This window comes from Homo sapiens, chromosome 17, assembly GCF_000001405.40.
Source record: "Homo sapiens chromosome 17, GRCh38.p14 Primary Assembly".
In the NCBI taxonomy this organism is placed as follows: domain Eukaryota; kingdom Metazoa; phylum Chordata; class Mammalia; order Primates; family Hominidae; genus Homo; species Homo sapiens.
In genome coordinates this window covers 43,734,813-43,760,346 of record NC_000017.11, presented here as the reverse complement: position 1 = coordinate 43,760,346, position 25,534 = coordinate 43,734,813, and the positions used below count along the sequence as shown (strand labels likewise).

The 25,534-nt window shown below is 49.8% G+C and overlaps 1 protein-coding gene across 1 annotated transcript, besides 2 other annotated features; it reads left to right on the top strand.

Annotated features, from left to right (window-relative positions):
• SOST (sclerostin) lies at positions 1,556–6,609 on the top strand. Its single transcript, NM_025237.3, has 2 exons — positions 1,556–1,825; positions 4,584–6,609. Exons 1-2 carry the CDS (start codon positions 1,606–1,608, stop codon positions 5,003–5,005), a joined length of 642 nt encoding a protein of 213 aa, NP_079513.1. The 5' UTR covers positions 1,556–1,605; the 3' UTR covers positions 5,006–6,609.
• Positions 5,824–6,026: a silencer, noted in NCBI's record as "fragment chr17:41831689-41831891 (GRCh37/hg19 assembly coordinates)". NCBI's record gives its function as "represses an EF-1alpha promoter that drives an FKBP-Casp9 reporter gene in an ReSE screen in phorbol 12-myristate 13-acetate-treated (for megakaryocytic differentiation) K562 erythroleukemia cells {active_cell/tissue: K562(+PMA)}" and the evidence as "EXISTENCE:reporter gene assay evidence [ECO:0000049][PMID:32094911]".
• Positions 16,224–16,383: a silencer, noted in NCBI's record as "fragment chr17:41821332-41821491 (GRCh37/hg19 assembly coordinates)". NCBI's record gives its function as "represses an EF-1alpha promoter that drives an FKBP-Casp9 reporter gene in an ReSE screen in HepG2 liver carcinoma cells {active_cell/tissue: HepG2}" and the evidence as "EXISTENCE:reporter gene assay evidence [ECO:0000049][PMID:32094911]".

Sequence of the window (25,534 nt, the reverse complement as noted above, 5' to 3'; positions counted from 1 at the left end):
AGGGCCAGCTTCTCACAACACTACCGGCTCTGCTGGGAGAGATAGATCACCCCCAACAATGGCCACAGCTGTTTTCATCTGCCCTGAAGGAAACTGACTTAGGAAGCAGGTATCAGAGAGGGCCCTTCCTGAGGGGGCTTCTGTCTGGCTTGTAAAACTGTCAGAGCAGCTGCATTCATGTGTCGGATGATGGATGATGGAAAGGAGGACAGTCGGCTGCAGATGGACACAGCGACTTGCAAGTTGAGGCAGGTGGCAAAGGACTTGCAGAGGCTCTGCAGGTGGGGCATGCTGATTCATTGCCCAGTTAAAATACCAGAGGATCTGGGCAGCCTCTTCACAGGAGCTGCTTGTCCTCAAACAATCTGTCTTCAATGAAAGATTCCTCTGGCCTTCCTTTCTCTTCTTGCACCTCAGGTGTGAATCCTTCTCCCCCACGCCTCTACCTGCCCCCCCGCCCCCCGCCCCGGCCCTGTGTGGCTCATTATATGCAGGGCCAAGGCAGCATTTTCTCTTAGCTTCTTTGTGACCACTTGGTCCTGGGATGGCTTCATGGAACACATCCTGTGGTGTGCACCAATGAAGCTTTCCATACAGGACTCAAAACTGTTTTTGAAAAATGTAACCAGCTGGAAGACAAGAAAATAAAATGTCAGCACTAAAAACGCTGGCTGTGGCTTTTGCTAAGGAAAGGAATTTGGTGTTGTCTTCTCACACACACAGACTGGTTGGGGAAATGACTGTCTTCAGCACATCACCCTGCGAGCCACAGTGAGTGCCCTGGCTCAGAAGTGCCTGTCACAGTGCACAGGATCCCTGAGGAGCATGAGCTGGGATTTCCTCTGTGCTGTCCACCACAGGAGCCTGAGTGACCAGCGCATCCTCGATTTGTAACCAGAATCCTGCCCTCTCTCCCAAGCGGGCACCCTTGCTCTGACCCTCTAGTTCTCTCTCTTGCCTTCCAGAGAATACCAAGAGAGGCTTTCTTGGTTAGGACAATGAATGCTGAGACTTGTGGAGTTGGGACCAATGGGATTTCTTTAAAAGCATCTTTTTGCCTCTGGCTGGGTCTATGGGGGTCAAACAGAAACGCCTTGGGCCATTTGTTGGTGGGGTGACAAATGAACTTGGCCTGAGAAATGGAATAGGCCGGGCTCAGCCCCGCGAAGCACTCAGAACTGCACATTTTCTTTGTTGAGCGGGTCCACAGTTTGTTTTGAGAATGCCCGAGGGCCCAGGGAGACAGACAATTAAAAGCCGGAGCTCATTTTGATATCTGAAAACCACAGCCGCCAGCACGTGGGAGGTGCCGGAGAGCAGGCTTGGGCCTTGCCTCACACGCCCCCTCTCTCTGGGTCACCTGGGAGTGCCAGCAGCAATTTGGAAGTTTGCTGAGCTAGAGGAGAAGTCTTTGGGGAGGGTTTGCTCTGAGCACACCCCTTTCCCTCCCTCCGGGGCTGAGGGAAACATGGGACCAGCCCTGCCCCAGCCTGTCCTCATTGGCTGGCATGAAGCAGAGAGGGGCTTTAAAAAGGCGACCGTGTCTCGGCTGGAGACCAGAGCCTGTGCTACTGGAAGGTGGCGTGCCCTCCTCTGGCTGGTACCATGCAGCTCCCACTGGCCCTGTGTCTCGTCTGCCTGCTGGTACACACAGCCTTCCGTGTAGTGGAGGGCCAGGGGTGGCAGGCGTTCAAGAATGATGCCACGGAAATCATCCCCGAGCTCGGAGAGTACCCCGAGCCTCCACCGGAGCTGGAGAACAACAAGACCATGAACCGGGCGGAGAACGGAGGGCGGCCTCCCCACCACCCCTTTGAGACCAAAGGTATGGGGTGGAGGAGAGAATTCTTAGTAAAAGATCCTGGGGAGGTTTTAGAAACTTCTCTTTGGGAGGCTTGGAAGACTGGGGTAGACCCAGTGAAGATTGCTGGCCTCTGCCAGCACTGGTCGAGGAACAGTCTTGCCTGGAGGTGGGGGAAGAATGGCTCGCTGGTGCAGCCTTCAAATTCAGGTGCAGAGGCATGAGGCAACAGACGCTGGTGAGAGCCCAGGGCAGGGAGGACGCTGGGGTGGTGAGGGTATGGCATCAGGGCATCAGAACAGGCTCAGGGGCTCAGAAAAGAAAAGGTTTCAAAGAATCTCCTCCTGGGAATATAGGAGCCACGTCCAGCTGCTGGTACCACTGGGAAGGGAACAAGGTAAGGGAGCCTCCCATCCACAGAACAGCACCTGTGGGGCACCGGACACTCTATGCTGGTGGTGGCTGTCCCCACCACACAGACCCACATCATGGAATCCCCAGGAGGTGAACCCCCAGCTCGAAGGGGAAGAAACAGGTTCCAGGCACTCAGTAACTTGGTAGTGAGAAGAGCTGAGGTGTGAACCTGGTTTGATCCAACTGCAAGATAGCCCTGGTGTGTGGGGGGGTGTGGGGGACAGATCTCCACAAAGCAGTGGGGAGGAAGGCCAGAGAGGCACCCCTGCAGTGTGCATTGCCCACGGCCTGCCCAGGGAGCTGGCACTTGAAGGAATGGGAGTTTTCGGCACAGTTTTAGCCCCTGACATGGGTGCAGCTGAGTCCAGGCCCTGGAGGGGAGAGCAGCATCCTCTGTGCAGGAGTAGGGACATCTGTCCTCAGCAGCCACCCCAGTCCCAACCTTGCCTCATTCCAGGGGAGGGAGAAGGAAGAGGAACCCTGGGTTCCTGGTCAGGCCTGCACAGAGAAGCCCAGGTGACAGTGTGCATCTGGCTCTATAATTGGCAGGAATCCTGAGGCCATGGGGGCGTCTGAAATGACACTTCAGACTAAGAGCTTCCCTGTCCTCTGGCCATTATCCAGGTGGCAGAGAAGTCCACTGCCCAGGCTCCTGGACCCCAGCCCTCCCCGCCTCACAACCTGTTGGGACTATGGGGTGCTAAAAAGGGCAACTGCATGGGAGGCCAGCCAGGACCCTCCGTCTTCAAAATGGAGGACAAGGGCGCCTCCCCCCACAGCTCCCCTTCTAGGCAAGGTCAGCTGGGCTCCAGCGACTGCCTGAAGGGCTGTAAGGAACCCAAACACAAAATGTCCACCTTGCTGGACTCCCACGAGAGGCCACAGCCCCTGAGGAAGCCACATGCTCAAAACAAAGTCATGATCTGCAGAGGAAGTGCCTGGCCTAGGGGCGCTATTCTCGAAAAGCCGCAAAATGCCCCCTTCCCTGGGCAAATGCCCCCCTGACCACACACACATTCCAGCCCTGCAGAGGTGAGGATGCAAACCAGCCCACAGACCAGAAAGCAGCCCCAGACGATGGCAGTGGCCACATCTCCCCTGCTGTGCTTGCTCTTCAGAGTGGGGGTGGGGGGTGGCCTTCTCTGTCCCCTCTCTGGTTTGGTCTTAAGACTATTTTTCATTCTTTCTTGTCACATTGGAACTATCCCCATGAAACCTTTGGGGGTGGACTGGTACTCACACGACGACCAGCTATTTAAAAAGCTCCCACCCATCTAAGTCCACCATAGGAGACATGGTCAAGGTGTGTGCAGGGGATCAGGCCAGGCCTCGGAGCCCAATCTCTGCCTGCCCAGGGAGTATCACCATGAGGCGCCCATTCAGATAACACAGAACAAGAAATGTGCCCAGCAGAGAGCCAGGTCAATGTTTGTGGCAGCTGAACCTGTAGGTTTTGGGTCAGAGCTCAGGGCCCCTATGGTAGGAAAGTAACGACAGTAAAAAGCAGCCCTCAGCTCCATCCCCCAGCCCAGCCTCCCATGGATGCTCGAACGCAGAGCCTCCACTCTTGCCGGAGCCAAAAGGTGCTGGGACCCCAGGGAAGTGGAGTCCGGAGATGCAGCCCAGCCTTTTGGGCAAGTTCTTTTCTCTGGCTGGGCCTCAGTATTCTCATTGATAATGAGGGGGTTGGACACACTGCCTTTGATTCCTTTCAAGTCTAATGAATTCCTGTCCTGATCACCTCCCCTTCAGTCCCTCGCCTCCACAGCAGCTGCCCTGATTTATTACCTTCAATTAACCTCTACTCCTTTCTCCATCCCCTGTCCACCCCTCCCAAGTGGCTGGAAAAGGAATTTGGGAGAAGCCAGAGCCAGGCAGAAGGTGTGCTGAGTACTTACCCTGCCCAGGCCAGGGACCCTGCGGCACAAGTGTGGCTTAAATCATAAGAAGACCCCAGAAGAGAAATGATAATAATAATACATAACAGCCGACGCTTTCAGCTATATGTGCCAAATGGTATTTTCTGCATTGCGTGTGTAATGGATTAACTCGCAATGCTTGGGGCGGCCCATTTTGCAGACAGGAAGAAGAGAGAGGTTAAGGAACTTGCCCAAGATGACACCTGCAGTGAGCGATGGAGCCCTGGTGTTTGAACCCCAGCAGTCATTTGGCTCCGAGGGGACAGGGTGCGCAGGAGAGCTTTCCACCAGCTCTAGAGCATCTGGGACCTTCCTGCAATAGATGTTCAGGGGCAAAAGCCTCTGGAGACAGGCTTGGCAAAAGCAGGGCTGGGGTGGAGAGAGACGGGCCGGTCCAGGGCAGGGGTGGCCAGGCGGGCGGCCACCCTCACGCGCGCCTCTCTCCACAGACGTGTCCGAGTACAGCTGCCGCGAGCTGCACTTCACCCGCTACGTGACCGATGGGCCGTGCCGCAGCGCCAAGCCGGTCACCGAGCTGGTGTGCTCCGGCCAGTGCGGCCCGGCGCGCCTGCTGCCCAACGCCATCGGCCGCGGCAAGTGGTGGCGACCTAGTGGGCCCGACTTCCGCTGCATCCCCGACCGCTACCGCGCGCAGCGCGTGCAGCTGCTGTGTCCCGGTGGTGAGGCGCCGCGCGCGCGCAAGGTGCGCCTGGTGGCCTCGTGCAAGTGCAAGCGCCTCACCCGCTTCCACAACCAGTCGGAGCTCAAGGACTTCGGGACCGAGGCCGCTCGGCCGCAGAAGGGCCGGAAGCCGCGGCCCCGCGCCCGGAGCGCCAAAGCCAACCAGGCCGAGCTGGAGAACGCCTACTAGAGCCCGCCCGCGCCCCTCCCCACCGGCGGGCGCCCCGGCCCTGAACCCGCGCCCCACATTTCTGTCCTCTGCGCGTGGTTTGATTGTTTATATTTCATTGTAAATGCCTGCAACCCAGGGCAGGGGGCTGAGACCTTCCAGGCCCTGAGGAATCCCGGGCGCCGGCAAGGCCCCCCTCAGCCCGCCAGCTGAGGGGTCCCACGGGGCAGGGGAGGGAATTGAGAGTCACAGACACTGAGCCACGCAGCCCCGCCTCTGGGGCCGCCTACCTTTGCTGGTCCCACTTCAGAGGAGGCAGAAATGGAAGCATTTTCACCGCCCTGGGGTTTTAAGGGAGCGGTGTGGGAGTGGGAAAGTCCAGGGACTGGTTAAGAAAGTTGGATAAGATTCCCCCTTGCACCTCGCTGCCCATCAGAAAGCCTGAGGCGTGCCCAGAGCACAAGACTGGGGGCAACTGTAGATGTGGTTTCTAGTCCTGGCTCTGCCACTAACTTGCTGTGTAACCTTGAACTACACAATTCTCCTTCGGGACCTCAATTTCCACTTTGTAAAATGAGGGTGGAGGTGGGAATAGGATCTCGAGGAGACTATTGGCATATGATTCCAAGGACTCCAGTGCCTTTTGAATGGGCAGAGGTGAGAGAGAGAGAGAGAAAGAGAGAGAATGAATGCAGTTGCATTGATTCAGTGCCAAGGTCACTTCCAGAATTCAGAGTTGTGATGCTCTCTTCTGACAGCCAAAGATGAAAAACAAACAGAAAAAAAAAAGTAAAGAGTCTATTTATGGCTGACATATTTACGGCTGACAAACTCCTGGAAGAAGCTATGCTGCTTCCCAGCCTGGCTTCCCCGGATGTTTGGCTACCTCCACCCCTCCATCTCAAAGAAATAACATCATCCATTGGGGTAGAAAAGGAGAGGGTCCGAGGGTGGTGGGAGGGATAGAAATCACATCCGCCCCAACTTCCCAAAGAGCAGCATCCCTCCCCCGACCCATAGCCATGTTTTAAAGTCACCTTCCGAAGAGAAGTGAAAGGTTCAAGGACACTGGCCTTGCAGGCCCGAGGGAGCAGCCATCACAAACTCACAGACCAGCACATCCCTTTTGAGACACCGCCTTCTGCCCACCACTCACGGACACATTTCTGCCTAGAAAACAGCTTCTTACTGCTCTTACATGTGATGGCATATCTTACACTAAAAGAATATTATTGGGGGAAAAACTACAAGTGCTGTACATATGCTGAGAAACTGCAGAGCATAATACTGCCACCCAAAAATCTTTTTGAAAATCATTTCCAGACAACCTCTTACTTTCTGTGTAGTTTTTAATTGTTAAAAAAAAAAAGTTTTAAACAGAAGCACATGACATATGAAAGCCTGCAGGACTGGTCGTTTTTTTGGCAATTCTTCCACGTGGGACTTGTCCACAAGAATGAAAGTAGTGGTTTTTAAAGAGTTAAGTTACATATTTATTTTCTCACTTAAGTTATTTATGCAAAAGTTTTTCTTGTAGAGAATGACAATGTTAATATTGCTTTATGAATTAACAGTCTGTTCTTCCAGAGTCCAGAGACATTGTTAATAAAGACAATGAATCATGACCGAAAGGATGTGGTCTCATTTTGTCAACCACACATGACGTCATTTCTGTCAAAGTTGACACCCTTCTCTTGGTCACTAGAGCTCCAACCTTGGACACACCTTTGACTGCTCTCTGGTGGCCCTTGTGGCAATTATGTCTTCCTTTGAAAAGTCATGTTTATCCCTTCCTTTCCAAACCCAGACCGCATTTCTTCACCCAGGGCATGGTAATAACCTCAGCCTTGTATCCTTTTAGCAGCCTCCCCTCCATGCTGGCTTCCAAAATGCTGTTCTCATTGTATCACTCCCCTGCTCAAAAGCCTTCCATAGCTCCCCCTTGCCCAGGATCAAGTGCAGTTTCCCTATCTGACATGGGAGGCCTTCTCTGCTTGACTCCCACCTCCCACTCCACCAAGCTTCCTACTGACTCCAAATGGTCATGCAGATCCCTGCTTCCTTAGTTTGCCATCCACACTTAGCACCCCCAATAACTAATCCTCTTTCTTTAGGATTCACATTACTTGTCATCTCTTCCCCTAACCTTCCAGAGATGTTCCAATCTCCCATGATCCCTCTCTCCTCTGAGGTTCCAGCCCCTTTTGTCTACACCACTACTTTGGTTCCTAATTCTGTTTTCCATTTGACAGTCATTCATGGAGGACCAGCCTGGCCAAGTCCTGCTTAGTACTGGCATAGACAACACAAAGCCAAGTACAATTCAGGACCAGCTCACAGGAAACTTCATCTTCTTCGAAGTGTGGATTTGATGCCTCCTGGGTAGAAATGTAGGATCTTCAAAAGTGGGCCAGCCTCCTGCACTTCTCTCAAAGTCTCGCCTCCCCAAGGTGTCTTAATAGTGCTGGATGCTAGCTGAGTTAGCATCTTCAGATGAAGAGTAACCCTAAAGTTACTCTTCAGTTGCCCTAAGGTGGGATGGTCAACTGGAAAGCTTTAAATTAAGTCCAGCCTACCTTGGGGGAACCCACCCCCACAAAGAAAGCTGAGGTCCCTCCTGATGACTTGTCAGTTTAACTACCAATAACCCACTTGAATTAATCATCATCATCAAGTCTTTGATAGGTGTGAGTGGGTATCAGTGGCCGGTCCCTTCCTGGGGCTCCAGCCCCCGAGGAGGCCTCAGTGAGCCCCTGCAGAAAATCCATGCATCATGAGTGTCTCAGGGCCCAGAATATGAGAGCAGGTAGGAAACAGAGACATCTTCCATCCCTGAGAGGCAGTGCGGTCCAGTGGGTGGGGACACGGGCTCTGGGTCAGGTTTGTGTTGTTTGTTTGTTTGTTTTGAGACAGAGTCTCGCTCTATTGCCCAGGCTGGAGTGCAGTGTCACGATCTCGGCTTACTGCAACTTCTGCCTTCCCGGATTCAAGTGATTCTCCTGCCTCAGCCTCCAGAGTAGCTGGGATTACAGGTGCGTGCCACCACGCCTGGCTAATTTTTGTATTTTTGATAGAGACGGGGTTTCACCATGTTGGCCAGGCTAGTCTCGAACTCTTGACCTCAAGTGATCTGCCTGCCTCGGCCTCCCAAAGTGCTGGGATTACAGGCGTGAGCCACCACACCCAGCCCCAGGTTGGTGTTTGAATCTGAGGAGACTGAAGCACCAAGGGGTTAAATGTTTTGCCCACAGCCATACTTGGGCTCAGTTCCTTGCCCTACCCCTCACTTGAGCTGCTTAGAACCTGGTGGGCACATGGGCAATAACCAGGTCACACTGTTTTGTACCAAGTGTTATGGGAATCCAAGATAGGAGTAATTTGCTCTGTGGAGGGGATGAGGGATAGTGGTTAGGGAAAGCTTCACAAAGTGGGTGCTGCTTAGAGATTTTCCAGGTGGAGAAGGGGGCTTCTAGGCAGAAGGCATAGCCCAAGCAAAGACTGCAAGTGCATGGCTGCTCATGGGTAGAAGAGAATCCACCATTCCTCAACATGTACCGAGTCCTTGCCATGTGCAAGGCAACATGGGGGTACCAGGAATTCCAAGCAATGTCCAAACCTAGGGTCTGCTTTCTGGGACCTGAAGATACAGGATGGATCAGCCCAGGCTGCAATCCCATTACCACGAGGGGGAAAAAAACCTGAAGGCTAAATTGTAGGTCGGGTTAGAGGTTATTTATGGAAAGTTATATTCTACCTACATGGGGTCTATAAGCCTGGCGCCAATCAGAAAAGGAACAAACAACAGACCTAGCTGGGAGGGGCAGCATTTTGTTGTAGGGGGCGGGGCACATGTTCTGGGGGTACAGCCAGACTCAGGGCTTGTATTAATAGTCTGAGAGTAAGACAGACAGAGGGATAGAAGGAAATAGGTCCCTTTCTCTCTCTCTGTCTCTCTCTCTCTCACTCTCTCTCTCTCTCTCTCACACACACACACAGACACACACACACGCTCTGTAGGGGTCTACTTATGCTCCAAGTACAAATCAGGCCACATTTACACAAGGAGGTAAAGGAAAAGAACGTTGGAGGAGCCACAGGACCCCAAAATTCCCTGTTTTCCTTGAATCAGGCAGGACTTACGCAGCTGGGAGGGTGGAGAGCCTGCAGAAGCCACCTGCGAGTAAGCCAAGTTCAGAGTCACAGACACCAAAAGCTGGTGCCATGTCCCACACCCACCCACCTCCCACCTGCTCCTTGACACAGCCCTGTGCTCCACAACCCGGCTCCCAGATCATTGATTATAGCTCTGGGGCCTGCACCGTCCTTCCTGCCACATCCCCACCCCATTCTTGGAACCTGCCCTCTGTCTTCTCCCTTGTCCAAGGGCAGGCAAGGGCTCAGCTATTGGGCAGCTTTGACCAACAGCTGAGGCTCCTTTTGTGGCTGGAGATGCAGGAGGCAGGGGAATATTCCTCTTAGTCAATGCGACCATGTGCCTGGTTTGCCCAGGGTGGTCTCGTTTACACCTGTAGGCCAAGCGTAATTATTAACAGCTCCCACTTCTACTCTAAAAAATGACCCAATCTGGGCAGTAAATTATATGGTGCCCATGCTATTAAGAGCTGCAACTTGCTGGGCGTGGTGGCTCACACCTGTAATCCCAGTACTTTGGGACGTCAAGGCGGGTGGATCACCTGAGGTCACGAGTTAGAGACTGGCCTGGCCAGCATGGCAAAACCCCATCTTTACTAAAAATACAAAAATTAGCAAGGCATGGTGGCATGCACCTGTAATCCCAGGTACTCGGGAGGCTGAGACAGGAGAATGGCTTGAACCCAGGAGGCAGAGGTTGCAGTGAGCCAAGATTGTGCCACTGCCCTCCAGCCCTGGCAACAGAGCAAGACTTCATCTCAAAAGAAAAAGGATACTGTCAATCACTGCAGGAAGAACCCAGGTAATGAATGAGGAGAAGAGAGGGGCTGAGTCACCATAGTGGCAGCACCGACTCCTGCAGGAAAGGCGAGACACTGGGTCATGGGTACTGAAGGGTGCCCTGAATGACGTTCTGCTTTAGAGACCGAACCTGAGCCCTGAAAGTGCATGCCTGTTCATGGGTGAGAGACTAAATTCATCATTCCTTGGCAGGTACTGAATCCTTTCTTACGGCTGCCCTCCAATGCCCAATTTCCCTACAATTGTCTGGGGTGCCTAAGCTTCTGCCCACCAAGAGGGCCAGAGCTGGCAGCGAGCAGCTGCAGGTAGGAGAGATAGGTACCCATAAGGGAGGTGGGAAAGAGAGATGGAAGGAGAGGGGTGCAGAGCACACACCTCCCCTGCCTGACAACTTCCTGAGGGCTGGTCATGCCAGCAGATTTAAGGCGGAGGCAGGGGAGATGGGGCGGGAGAGGAAGTGAAAAAGGAGAGGGTGGGGATGGAGAGGAAGAGAGGGTGATCATTCATTCATTCCATTGCTACTGACTGGATGCCAGCTGTGAGCCAGGCACCACCCTAGCTCTGGGCATGTGGTTGTAATCTTGGAGCCTCATGGAGCTCACAGGGAGTGCTGGCAAGGAGATGGATAATGGACGGATAACAAATAAACATTTAGTACAATGTCCGGGAATGGAAAGTTCTCGAAAGAAAATTAAAGCTGGTGAGCATATAGACAGCCCTGAAGGCGGCCAGGCCAGGCATTTCTGAGGAGGTGGCATTTGAGCTAAGACCAAAATGTGGTGGGAGAGGGAGCCACACAAGGATCTGGGGGTGTGTGCACTGGGAGGGGGAGCAGCAAGTGCAAAGGGCCTGAAGGTATGTAGGGGGTGGAGAAGGGACACCACTAATTGCCTTGGGTGCCTTTCAGGCGTCTCCATGCCAAGGCTCTAACCCCTGATCTGGAAGCCAACATAGTAATTATAATTATAGTGAAGAGGGGTGTGTGTGTGTGTGTGTGTGTGTGTGTGTGTGTGTGTGTGTGATTGAAAGAGAGAGAGAATGAGTCTCTGTACCTTCTCTTGGGTCTGTATGTTGAAAACCTAAGTGACCCTAAAGAAGAATATTTGCATATTATTAATTATGTAGCTATACATGTTTTTTTTGAGACAAAGTCTTGCTTTGTCACCCAGACTGGAGTGCAGTGGCAGCAATCATGGCTCACTGCAGCCTCTGCCTCCCAGGCTCAAGCCATCCTCCTGTCTCACTCTCCTGAGTAGCTGGGCTACAGGCAGTTGCCACCATGCCCGGCTAATTTTTGTATTTTTTTAGAGATGGGGCTTCACTTTGTTGCCCAAGCTGGTGCACATCTTTATTCTTTTTTTTTTTTTTTTTTTGAGACAGAGTCTCACTCTGTCGCCCAGGCTGGAGTGCAGTGGTGCGATCTCACGGCTCACTGCAACCTCTGCCTCCTGGCTTCAAGTGATTCTCCTGCCTCAGCCTCCTGAGTAGCCGGGACTACAGGCACGTGCCACCACGCCCGGCTAATTTGTTTTTGTATTTTTAGTAGAGACGGGGTTTCACTGTGTTAGCCAGGATGGTCTCAATCTCCTGACCTCGTGATTCCCCCGCCTCGGCCTCCCAAAGTGTTGGGATTACAGGTGTGAGCCACCGCACCCCGCCACATCTTTATTCTTTAGGCTTTTGATAGGTTTGCTTAAGTAATGCTGCTAGCACTGGGCAGATGTATTACAATAGGAATATTGATGCCCTTGAACTCCTTCTAGCACATACAGATGTGACACAATTCATATGCAGTTGCGGAAATGCCTGTAGTTTTCTTTAATGGATGCCTATAAGATCCAGGCTGTAATCTATAAGATCCTATAGGCTGTGTGCCTATAAGATCCTGCTGTGAATTCTTCCCTGCTGTGGCTCTAAGCCAGATGTATAAATATATGTAGATGGATACAGGTTTATGCTATTCAGCCGAGACTCTAGGTCAGGCGATGGAGATCTGAAAGGTAAGAAGGAGTCTAGAAATGAATTCCTTCTGGAAAGATTCATGATTCATTCTTACTTCTCTGAACTATAGAAGAGCATCCTCATCAGTGAATGTATTCGTCACTGCATCCACTGCAAACCCCCTTGGGGAACACTCACCTTCACTGTGCTTCTGGATTTGCACATGTGCTTGCATATGCACACACACACTCACACACACACATTCACACCATCTTTACTCTGAATATACAATGCCAAGCTTTCCCAGGTATTCTAAAATCCTCCTGTTTCTGACCCTTGGTTGGCAGATGTCCAAAAATGATACTGACATCCCAGGTCAGAATGGTCGCCAGTTCCGATCAAGACAGAGCCCCGTATCTTCCAGGGACACTAGACAAGATGCCAGGACCACGCCTCCGCTCTGCCCAGAGGCCAAAAGCAGCCCAACAAGGTGAAGTGTTCTCTGCATGCATTACTCCCTGGGTCCCCCAAGATCGGCCTCCAGCTCTCCTCCACCCAGGAGCTGCTGTGTGGAGACAGAGACTGGCTCGGGGTCCCATTCCCCAATCCCCTCCCTTCCATCTGCTATGCCGCTGCCAGATGGATTTTACTTTCTCTGTTTTTTTAAAAAGCAAAGTTCAAAAAATATTTTAAACACAGGAAATTTAATACGTTAGCATTTTAGCTCCATCTACAGTATTTCTTTATTTTTTACACAGGGTTTCACTCTGTTGCCCAGACTGCAGTACAGTGGCACAATCATAGCTCACTGCAGCCTCTATCTCCTGGGCTCAAGTGGTCTTCCTACCTCAGCCTCCCAAGAAGCTGAGACTACAGGTGTGCACCACTACACCTAGCTAATGTTTTTTATTTTTATTAGAGACAAGGTCTCACTATGTTTCCCAGGCTGGTCTTAAACTCCTGAGCTCAAGTGATCCTCCTGCCTTGGCCTCCCAAAGTGCTGGGATTATAGGTGTAAGCCACCATGCCCCGCCCATATTTCTTTTAGATATAAAACCAATAGAAAAATTCTATGTATTTCTCTTTCCATGCCTTTCCCTCCATGGATTGTTTCCAAAGGCAACAATCCATGTTTTCATACCGTCCTACATATATTATTTATAATCAATATACAAACGTGCGTTTTTAAATTTCACACGCATTTTATCATACCATACATATGCTGAAACTCACCTTTTTTTTTTACTCAAAATTATGCTTTTAAGATCTAGCCATGTTGGATTATTTTAAAATCTTGAATGGTATTATATTTTATGACTATACCACTATTTGCTTATCTATTTTTCTTTTTTTTTTTTTTTTGAGACAGAGTCTCGCTCTGTCACCCAGGCTGGAGTGCAATGGCGCAATGTTGGCTCACTGCAACTTCTGCCTCCTGAGTTCAAGCAATTCTCCTGCCTCAGCTTCCTGAGTAGCTGGAACTACAGGTATGTGCCACCACACCCAGCTAATTTTTTGTATTTGTAGTAGAGACGAGGTTTCACCATGTTGGCCAGGCTGGTCTCGAACTCCTGGCCTCAGGTGATCCACCTGCCTCGGCCTCCCAAAGTGCTGAGATTACAGGCGTGAGCCACTGCGCCTGGCCTGCTTATCTATTTTTCTACTGATTTAGTTTGTTTCCAGTGTTTTCACCATCAAACCCAATGCACTAAGGAAGATGCCCGAATTTGTCTCCTGACGCGACATATGCTAGAGTTTCTTCAGGACAGAGAGGAGTGAGTGTTCTAATACAAAAATCTAATCATGCTATTTCCCCGCTCAAATTCCTCCATGGAATTTATTACCTAAAAGGTCAACTCTAAACTCCTTAGCTTACAAGTACATGATCTGGTATCCATCTACCTGTCCAGCCACGCATTTGACCGCTGACTTCCTTAGCACTTTGTTCTCTGCAATATCGTATTTCTCTTAATTTCTAAATCGCCCAGGGGGTTTCAAGCCTCTGCTTTTGCACATTCTCCTTAGTCTGTCTAGGATCCCCTCCTCCAACTCCTCTGGCCTGGAAATTCCCCTTCAAGTCTCCTTTTGAGGAGACTGCCTCCTCCACAGAGCTGACCACCACGCCACATCCAGGCTGTGTTACAAGATTGACACACAGGCTGAACGTGGCCGTCTCCCCTCTGGACTATGAGGCTATTGAGGACAGGACCCCAGCCTTTGCACATTTGTAGCCTCAGTGCTTTTGCACAGGGCTTGGCCAGAATCCGGGCTCCATAAATATTTGTTGAATTAATGGATGTTTGGCTGCTGGGGCATGATTTGAGCAGCAGAAATGAAAAGCCCAGCTTCCTCCCAGCTCAGCAGCAGGCAAGAACTTTGGGACAACTTTTCCAAAGCACTTATTTCATTCAAGACCCTCTGTAGCTTTGCAACCGTGGCGGGGAACGGGGCCCTTCCCAAGAAACCAAGTCCATGATTGTTTACCCTGGACATTATTAAACACCCACATTACAGGTATCTCTGTCATTTGGCCAACAATTTGGTGTGTGATGTTAGGTTATTTCTATGTCTGAAGAAAACAGCTCAGCTCTGACTAAAGAAATAAATGATAACATTTTTCTTTCAGGCAACCAGATTCCTTGGTACAAAAGGCTCCCTGGGGAGAAATGCCGGGACAGTGTGGCTCCTCTGAGGCTATTTACATCTGTCAGCTTCTCTAATCTCTTGCCTTCCTTCCTCTGTCTGTTTCCTTCCCTTTGCACAGAGCCCGGCATTGAGCCTGGTACTTACAGGGAGGGTGGTGGAGCCATCGTCCTCACGTATGCGCTGGGGATCGGGGTTGGTGGGGGGTGGCCAGTGGCATTTGGTGGGTTTTTTTTTGTTGTTAGAAACCAGCCTTAATTTAAGATAATAACTCTCCTTGTTTGCCAGTGATCGCTATTTGTAGGCACCTATTTTCCCTGGTCAATTTGGCTAAGATAAATCGAATCTAAAAGGGAACATTTTCTAAAAATGCTGCGGGGCAGTTTGCAGAAACTGGACCAAGGAACATCTTCCAGGTCACCTGTTCCATGATGGCCTGGATGCCCCCCTTCTTAAATGAGATTGGGGGCATAGAAACAGACTCCCCAGCCTTTTACGACAACACCTTTAAAGTGTCATTGAAACCTGGGGGAACAAGGACCCTGAAGAATCATTTGGTCTGGACTTTACTGAAAGATTCCAATTCCTGCATGGTCAGCCCCCGCCCCCTCTCCAACTGGTCTCTTGTCAGTGTCCTCACAACCCCCAGCCCAGCCCTGGCTCCCACCCTCCACCCACCCTGCCTGTCTGTTAGTTCCTCGAAAGCACCAGCTCCCAATTATGACGATGCTGTTCCCTCTGCCAGGGACACTCTTCTTGCATTCTCTGCCATCCATCTGATGTCGGCTCAAATATCACCTCCTCAGAGGCCTTCCCTGACCATCCCATCTAAAACAGGATTCCACTATTCTTTTTCCTAACCCTTGTCACAAGTTGTCATTTTATATTTGTCTCATGGCAGGTCTGCCTCCGCTGCCCAGTTGTAAGCTCTATTAGACAGGGACTGAGCTGGCTTGTTCTTGAGATCTGAGATCACAGAGCCTGGCCTGCAGCAGGTGCTCAGTATATCAGTATATGTTGGCAACTGAGTGAACCAGCAAGGGGTCGGTGGGCCCTGGCACAATTGCTCTGCTACCGCTAACACCACCACTAAGAATGTCATTTAAATACCAGATCATAAGCACCAACTTTAGTTCCAGGCAGCCCTCCTCCTGGAGTGGGAGCAAGAGACTCTCTCCACCTCATCCCCCAGGCCTGGAAAAATGTTTTGAGCTTTCAGTTGCTTATTCTTTTCTTCTTTATGCACAAGTTGTTTTCCTTTCCTCAATCGCTTTATTTCCCTTTTTTCTAGTAGTCACATCTTCATTAGAGATTTTATATTACAATATCATCATAGACTCCCTTTTAAATTTCCCTGGTCCTTCTGTTGCTGTCTGGGGAGACAGAGGTGCACACTCTGAAGTCGGTACCGGACCCATTCACACTGGCCCAGCTTCTGTGTGGCTGACCAGCCGTGTGTCATTTAATACCAGACTGTGTGGCTGACCAGCTGGGTGTCTCCAACCCCTCAGGGGCTCCACCAGACCCTTGGAATCAACCCCCTATGGTTCTCCCTTGGGCCCCTATCTCCTGCATGCATTCAACTCACCAACCACCACGTGCGCGGTTTCTGTTTTCTGTCCATTTGCCTAACGTCTCTTGAATCCATCCATTTCTCTCCAGTGCCACTTCCCTGGTTTGGCCGCCGTCTCCCTTGTCCTGGCCTCTGATATTCTCCTGGCCTCTGGACTCACCTCCTCTAAGCCAGTCTTCCTCTGGGCGCAGAATCTGATCCTGTCCCTCCTCTGCTTCCTGTGGCCTTAGGATGGAGAGCACTCACCTCAGCCAGGCCCCCAGGCTAAACCCGATCTGATGCTCCCAGCTCTCCAAGCCCTTCTCTTCTCAGATGCCTCTCTGGGCTCCTCTTAGTTCCTGCAAGTCCCGCACTCTCTCCCACCTCCGGCCTTTGGGCAGCGAGTCTTTCAGCTAAGTGGTTTTCCTACATCACCTTCTACTCCCTCCTCGGCTCTCATACATCCTCCTGGATGCCCCGCTGAACCTCCTGGGCCAGTTAGGGCCTTCCCCTGTGTTTTCCTGACAGATTGTAGTTTCCCTCATATTGCCTTGGCGAAGTGCCCTCTAACTGCCAATTTATTATTATTATTTTATTATTATTATTATTTTGAGATAATAATCTCAGAGTCTTGCTCTGTCACCCAGGCTGGAGGGCAGTGGCATGATCTTGGCTCACTGCAACCTCTGCCTCCCAGGTTCCAGCGATTCTCCTGCCTCAGCCTCCTGAGTAGCTGGGACTACAGGCACATGCCACCACGCCTGGCTAATTTTTGTATTGTTAGTAGAGATGGGGTTTCACCATGTTGTCCAGGCTGGTCTCGAACTCCCGACCTCAAGTGATCTGCCCACCTTGGCCTCCCAAAGTGCTGGGATTATAGGCATGAGCCACTATGCCCGGCCACCAATTTATTATTTCTTCCCTTAGACTGGGAGCTTCATGAGGGCAGAGGCTGGCTGTCATGCTCAGGGGTGCAGAGAAGATCCTGACTTAAAATTCCTGTGACTTGGACATGCAGGAGAAGCCAGACGTGAAGGATATAAATTGAACCAACTTGGACTGAAGATCCCAGCCAGGAGGATCTGCTCCCCCAGGAAGGGAACTGATTTGTCCTCGAGGCCCCTGGGATAGGAGAAGCCACAGCATCCTGTTGTTTGATCTTCTTATCTTCAAGCAGGCATGACTCGGTTCCAGAAATACAAGCCATAAGATAGACCTCCAGACTCCTAGAGACGATCTGAAGCTGCAGAAGCCCTCCACTGAAAGACCGGACCCACTGCCTACTCCTCCTGGCAGGTGCCCTGGACAAGGGCACAGACTTCACAGCGTTCAAGTGTGAAGGGATTGTCCTTCTCCAGCCCTGGATATTAAAAGGTCTACCCCGATGAGCCATGGAGGGACTCTGAGTGTGTGTGTGTGTGTGTGTGTGTGTGTGTGTGTGTGTGTGTGTTGGAGGAGTTGCTTATGGAAAATATTTTTCCTGCTCTTAAAAAGGGACTCCTGCCAGGCATGGTGGCTCATGCCTGTAATCCAAGCAGTTTGGGAGGCCGAGGCAGGTGGATCACCTGAGGTCAGGAATTCGAGACCAGCCTGACCAACATGGAGAAACCCTGTCTCTAATAAAAATACAAAATTAGCCGGGCATGGTGGCACATGCCTGTAATCCCAGCTACTCGGGAGGCTGAGGCAGGAGAATTGCTTGAACCCAGGAGGCAGAGGTTGCGGTGAGCCGAGATCGCTCCACTACCCTCCAGCCGGGGCAACAAGAGTGAAACTCTGTCTAAAATAAAATTTAAAAAAAGAACAAAAAGGGACTCCTGGCTGGGCATGGTGGCTCATGCTTGTAATTCCAATACTTTAGGAGGCTGAGTCAGGTGGATCACTTTAGCCCAGGAGTTCAAGACCAGCCTGGTCAACATGGCAAAAAATACAAAAAAAAAAAAATTAGCCAGGAATGGTGGTGTGCACCTGTAGTCCCAGCTACTAGGCAGACTGAGGTGGGAGGATCACCTGAGCCTGGGAGTTTGAGGCTGCAGTGAGCTGTGGTTGCACCACTGCACCCCAGCCTGGGTGACAGAGTAAGACCCTGTCTAAGAAAAAAAAAGGCGTGTAGCACTTCCCTCCTCTCCCCCATTATCTCCCTTGCTCCCCCTCTCCATGTGAGGTGCTGGCTTCCCCCTTCACCTTTTGACATGATTGGAAGCTTCCTGAGGCCTCCCCAGAAACCCAGCAGATGCCCAGCACCATGCTTCCTGTACCGCCTGCAGGACCACAAGCCAATTAAACCTCTTTTCTTTATAAATTACCCAGACTCAGGTCAGTCAGCCTTCCTTCCTTCCTTCTTTTAAATTTTTTAATTTTGAGACAGAGTTTTCCTCTGTTGCCCAGGCTGGAGTGTAGTGGTGCAATCTTGGCTCACTGCAACTTCCTCTTCCTAGGCTTAAGTGATCCTCCTGCCTTGGGCTCCCAAACTGCTGGGATCAGAGGCATGAGCCACCGCACCTGGTCTCAGATATTTCTTTATAGCAATGCAAGAATGGCCTAATACGGGTGACAAGTCAGAGTTTGCAGGGAAGCCCAAGAAGCAAGCACATCAGCTGCCTGAGTGAGGCCGTGAAGGGAGCCGGTGGACAGGTCTGCAGGCAGCTGTAGCTCAGCAAGCCCAGCTGGCCAGAACACGGGCCAGACAGGGAGCCAGCAGCCCGAGAGGTGGATTGGCCAGGCATATCTCTGCCTCAGTGTCATCACGGCACATGACCGTGACAACCCCCTGAGAGTCAGGATGCTGCTTCACTTTTATTTTCCAAATCTCATGCAAGCTCCTCTTTTGACCAACTCTACCCTAGACCCCTCTGGAGAAGGGGTTTCTGGGAAGTATTATTCCCAGATTAGCCAAATGGACAAAACACAAACCAGCAGGAAGACCAGCCCCACTCATCTCTCTGGCCTCCTCCCCTCTACTCCCTACCTGTGCCCAGGCCCTAAACTGTTTACAGCTCCCCATTGTGCCTCTGCCCATGCTATGTCCTCAATTTGGGATACCTCTGCTCTCTTCTTTAGCTAGTCAATGCTACTGAGCCCTCAGGATCTGGCCCCAGAGACTCATTCCCTGAGACATCTTCCCTCTCTGAGAACTCCCCTCTCCTCTGTGCTCCCCAAGAACTGGGTACAAACCCACATTGCAACTCCTGTTACCCACCGAGTCTTCCTCCTCGCCAGGGCTAGGAATCTCTTGGGAAGGAGGACTGTGTCTGTGCTGGCCAGCCTCCCAGCAGCTAGTGCTGGGAAGGCAGGGTTCTCAAGGAGGGCGCAATGCCCTCCTGGCATGGAAACCACTAAACCACCGGTGCAGTGTGCTTCAGAATCACGTAGGGAACGTGTTACACATTCAGATTCCCAGTCCTCACCTCCCCGAGATTTTGATTTGGTAGTTCTGGAGCTAGACTCAGGAACCTGCATTTTTCTTTTTTTTAAATTGGGCAGCCTCTAGAGCCAGAGTAGGCTCAGAGACTCCCAGGAACCAGCATTTTTTAGCAAACACTGTGAGTAATTCATGAGCAATTTGTCTACCACATCAGGCTGACTCTGACAGAGCTGAATCTTTTTTTATTTTTTTAAGAGTTTAAGTCTAACTCTTTTCATTTTTTTTAACCTTAGTTTCTAGTTAGATTAGAAGGTCTGTCTCTTTTATAGATAAAAGCTCTATTAAGTCCTTATAGGTCTTATTCTGCTTTTATTGGAGGCCCTGAAGCCCAGACTATGGGATTTAAAAGTCTCTGAAGGGTGACAGAGAGGACCAGAGAGAAGGCAGTAGAGTCGAGGCATGGAGCTTGCCGAGGGCCTGGCCGGGACAGAGAGGCCCAGCAACGCCTTGGCCCCAAGAAAATCTTCTTGTCTTTCTGGAATGCCGAGAAGCCCTGAGGAGGTCCTGGGTGGGAAGAGCTAAGCCATAGTAGGTGTGCTGAGGCCCATGGGAGGGGACTCAGCATGTGCCTCAGTAGCCCGTGACGCAGGACCTCCCACGCGGGTCTCCTGAGGAGCTGGAGAGAAGCAGATTATTCCTCCAACATATCAGTGAGGGCACCTTGGGCCCAACTGGCTGGGGAGGTGGGGATGTGTGGGGTGGGGACAGGATGACAGCAGAGGAGCTGGCACTAGGACAGGAGCCACAGCAGGCTGGGTACCACAGAGTGGGGCCTTGCCAGTTTCGACATCTGCCCCCAGTCCCTGCCTGGTCACCCAAGGAATGTGGCTTTAGATTTGTGGCTCGGGACCCCAGGAGAGGGAGAGGGAGCCTCTCAGCCTGTCTAGATCTTCTTGGCCAGGTGGTGGGAGGTGGCTTCTCCCAGGGGCCCCGGGGGCTGCTGGATGAGACGCTGACTCAGTTATCTTCTGAGTTGAGCCATTGTTTTATTTAAAAATACAGAGCAAATAAACCCACAATATCACTCCACCCCATGGACACAAGCACTACTTATATTTAGGTGTATCCCCTTCCAGTCTTGTTTCCTCTGTGTATGTGTGTGTGTGTGTGTGTGTGTGTGTGTGCAGGCACATGCATGTGTTTGTTTGTACCATAGGTCCATAAAGTTCTGTATTCTGTATGACACCATTAGCATTTTCTATGTTGCCACAGAGTCTTTGTGACCATCATTCCCAAAGGCTGCCTGGTCTACTGAGATGATGGGCCATAGTTTCCTTAAGGATCCTTTGTTGTCTTCTGACCCACACAATGACACTAAGTTTTACCTGGGGCCAGACTCCCGCTCCCTGAAGTCAGCCCTGTTCAAACCCCAAATCTTGGCCCTCTCAATCCAGTCCTTCACTCCCTGACCTCTTCCTGCATTCTTCTGCCTGCTCCAGACTTTTTGATTTACCTCCCAATTTATGTATCACACTCACCACCCCCCTAGATCTGACAGCTTAGATAATGCCTTCTTGAATACTGGAAAAACCTGAATTGCCATCAGTTTTTGAGGTTCCTAATATACTATAAAATGTAAATATGCCTAAAGAGGGTTATAAAGATTGTCAGCTATTTTAGGCTGGGTGTGGTGGCTCACACCTGTAATCCCAGCACTTTGGGAGGCCAAGGGGGGTGGATTTCTTGAGCCCAAGAGTTCAGGACCAACCTTGGCAACATGGTAAAATCCCACCTCTACCCAAAATACAAATATTAGCCAATCTCTTAACCCAGTCTCAAAACAAATAAATAGATTAAAATTAAAAATAAAAGATTGTCAGCTATTTCAGTGTTTACACTGAACAAATTAATATTCCTTTCACCAGTAATGTGGTATAACATTGTTATGAACCCCCAAGAAATGTACAAATAAGGTACCACACGTGATACCAACTCTCCAGATGTGGAGACAAGGTCAAGGCCAAATGACAAATGTTCTCTTTGGGTCTTGTCAGAGTCACTCTCTGAGACTAAATATGCAATTGCACTTGAAGAAAAAAATAGCAGAAGTCTAAATTTGAGACCCATTGAGACCTGAGCCAATGGCTTTCCATACTCCCCTTGTGTCTGCACCCAATTAAAAACAAAATAAAACAGGTTATCCTGGCTGCTTCTCTAGAACTGTCCCTTGGCCTACCTTGTCAGGCTGAGCCTGGCACCTGTCCTCAGATCTGATGCCTTGTTGCCTGGAGTGCCTCCCCCACCCACTCAACCCTAGCTCCTGGGATCCTGCCTTGGGTCAGCCCCCTTGGCTGGTACCAGAGGTGTTTGGAACATTGGATGGCTTCTAATGTTTTCACTATCGTAAATGTGGTGGATGGGATTCTCTGGTTCTGTCAGCTCCTTTTCCCTCTCTATGCTCATCCTTACTGAGGAGGGAACATTTTAAGCTCACCCCTACTGAGGAGGGAGCCTTTTAACCTCATAAATCATTAGAGTGATACATCAAGAATCCACTCTAAGCAGAGAAGTGGATTATCTCAAGGCCCCTCCACTCAGAAGATGGGAGGATGTGGAGCAGGTGGTTCTATTTGCCTTGAGCACAAGGGCCACAGGGAGCAATCCAGATTTGCTGGCTACTGACCAAAGGGGATGAAGCTCCTTTTCTAAGAGAAGAAGGTTAGACAAGGAAGGAGATGAGAGAGATCAAGGGAAACAGAGATTACTGGGCATCATGGAAGCTGTTTTCTGGAAGGCAACCCAGTGGGAAGGGTGGGGACGCTCTGCATCATGAATGAGTGGAGGTGATACTTGCTGGCAGTAGATTCAGCTTTTATCCATTTCTGGCCACGGAAGGGCAGAATGTGGCCATGAATGACTTTGCTCAAATACATTTTTCTCTACTTAGGATTATTTCTTTTCCCCAAGGGGGCACATTTCTATGGCTCTTCTCATATATTGCTGGATTGGTTTCTAGAAGATGGGTATCACTTTACAATAGGGCAAGAGAGGATCCCATTTTTGGCACATATAAGTATGCAATAAGTAAGTGATTAATAGCAAGCAGAACAGAAAATCCCCAGGCTGTGGGGCAGTGGTGCTGTTGCTGGAGGGAGAACATCCAGATCTTTAACCTCTGGGGCCACTTCAAATACACTTGCCCAGGATTTAAGCATCATTAGTAGATGTTGCTGAGCCAAATCGATAAATGGATATGGCAAAGGCTGTGTAGATTTTAGAGCAGGGCAGATGGGATGCAATTCTCAGGAATCCTACAAGGCCTAGATGTAACAGTGTGATCCTCAGGGCAGGACTTAATTCAGGACCCTGCCATCAGAAGTGAAATGAAGCACTAATATATCCCACGACATGGATGAACCTTGAAAGCATGCTAAGTAAAGAAGCCAGACCAAAAGACCACATATTATATGACTCCACTTATATGAAGATTCCTGCAGCCTCTACGCTCCACCACTGATAACTCCCTCCAGATTCAAATTCCTGTGGGCCTGCCTGCTCTAGCTGGGGCCGGGATGGGAGGTACCAGAACCCCACAACTGACACCCCCAACAGGGCTGTCAGGAGAGAGGTAATTTGCTCAAAGAAAAATTTAGATGGAGGCAAAAGCCACAGCTCTCCACTAACCACGCTGCTAAAACTTTGGGGGCTGCTATGCACCAGAACTAGTTGAAACCATAGAGCCACAGGCCAAATCTGGCCCACGGCTTATTACTTTACAGCCCATGAAGGAAGAATGGTTTTTGTTGGTGTTGTAGTTTTGAGACAGAGTTTTGCTCTTGTTGCCCAGGCTGGAGTGCAATGGCGCAATCTCAGCTCACTGCAACCTCCACCTCCCGCGTTCAAATGATTCTCCTGCCTCAGCTCCCAAGTAGCTGGGATTACAGGCATGCACCACCACGCCCAGCTAATTTTGTATTTTTAGTAGAAACGGGGTTTCTCCATGTTGGTCAGGCTGGTCTCAGACTCCCTGCATCAGGTGATCCGCCCGCCTCGGCCTCCCAAAGTGCTGGGATTACAGGCATGAGCCACTGCGCTGGCCGGAAGAATGGTTTTTACAGATGAATATCTGCAATTGATTTGATGACAGGGAACACCAACTTTGAATCCCAATTAAGTAAAATGTTGCCCTCCCAACCCTGCAAAAAACAAAACAAAGCAAAAAACAAACAAACAAACAAAAAAACCAAACACATTCTTCTCATTAGTAAAACTGCATTACAAAAAACTGTTCCTGGCAGGACTCAAGTGACTCATGCCTATAATCCCAGCACTTTGGGAAGCTGAAGTGGGAGGATCGCATGAGCCCAGGAGTTTGAGACCAGCCTGGGCGACACAGGGAGACCTCATCTTTACAAAAAATGTAAAAAGTAGCCAGTGTGCTGGTGCATGCCTGTAGCTCCAAGTTACTTGGGAGGATCACTTGAGCCCAGGAGGTCAAGGCTGCAGTGAGCTATGCATTCAAGCCTGGGAGACAGAGTGAGACCATGTCTCAAAAAACCAAAAACCAACAAACAGAAACAACCCTGTTACCAATTATTATTATTATATTTTTCAATTTGTCAATAAAAATGTTTGGAAATTTGTTTACAGTCTTATCAAGTAAGTGCTTACCTAACATCCTCAGTTTTGACTCTTGGCCTGCAAACCCCAATATTTACTATCTAGCTGTTTACTGCCCCTTACTCTAGGGCAGTGCCTCTCAAATTGTGGTGATCATAGAATCACCTGGAGAGCTGTTAAAACAGATTGCTGGGCCGTAGTCCCAGATACTCTAATTCAGTAGGTTAAACATAGAGTTTACTATATGACACGTCAATTCCACTCCTAGGTATATACCCAAGAGATTTGGAAATATGTCAGTACAAAAACTTGCACATGAATGTTCATAGCAGCATTATTCATAATAGCCAAAAATTGGAAACAATCCAATATCCATCAATTGATGAATGGATATACACATTATTGTATATCCATATGAGGTAGGAAGTGAGACTCGACTCCAGAGATGAAGTCAGACACCAAACTGCGGACTAGCTAAAACAAGGAAGGGGCAGAACCAGCTTTCCATAAGATATGCCCACCAGTGAGCCATGTCAGTTTACCATTGCCATGACAACACCTGGGAGTTACCACTCCTTTCCATGGCAATGACCCGCTGACCCAAAAGTGACTACCCCTTCCCTAGAAATTTCTGCATAAACCACCCCTTAATCCATATGTAATTAAAAGTGGTATAAATATGACTGCAAAATACCCTGAGCTGCTACTCTTTGCCTATGGGGTAGCCCTGTTCTGCAGGAGCAGTCACAGAGCTGTAACCACTGCTGCTTCAATAAAGCTGTCTTCTACCTCTGGCTTGCCCTTGAATTCCTTCCTGGGCAAAGCCAAAAATCCTCATGGACTAAGTCCCAATTTGGGGTTCATCTGCCCTGCATCACATACAATAGAGTATTATGCAATTCTGAAGTGAAATGAAGTACTGATATATCGCACGACATGGATGAACCTTGAAAACATGCTAAGTGAAAGAAGCCAGACCAAAAGGCCACATATTATATGACTCCACTTATATGAAATGTCCAGAATAGGCAAGTACATAGAGATGGAAGAGAGATTAGTTGTTGTCAGGGAATGTAAGACAGTGGAAGTGGAGAGTAACTGCTAATGAGGACGAAGTTTCTTTTTTCTGTCATGAAAATGTTCTGGAAGTAGTGGTGATGGTTGTACAGTCTTTTGAATATACTAAAACCACTGAATTGTACACTTTAAAATGGTAAATTTTACGGTATGTGAATTATATCTCAATGAGAAAATAAATAAATAAGACACACAACCCATGACATTGGACGCAATCTGGAACTAGTTCTCAGAAAATGATTTTGCTTGATGCATAATATATATTAAAGAAAAAAGATTGCTACTTCTTTGAGGGCAATTAAATTTTTTCGCTAGCATCTCTCTACATTTTCTTTCTCATCAAAGTCAATGAGAAAACAGAATTCCTGAAAAGAAACTTTGCTACTAACAATTAAGACCT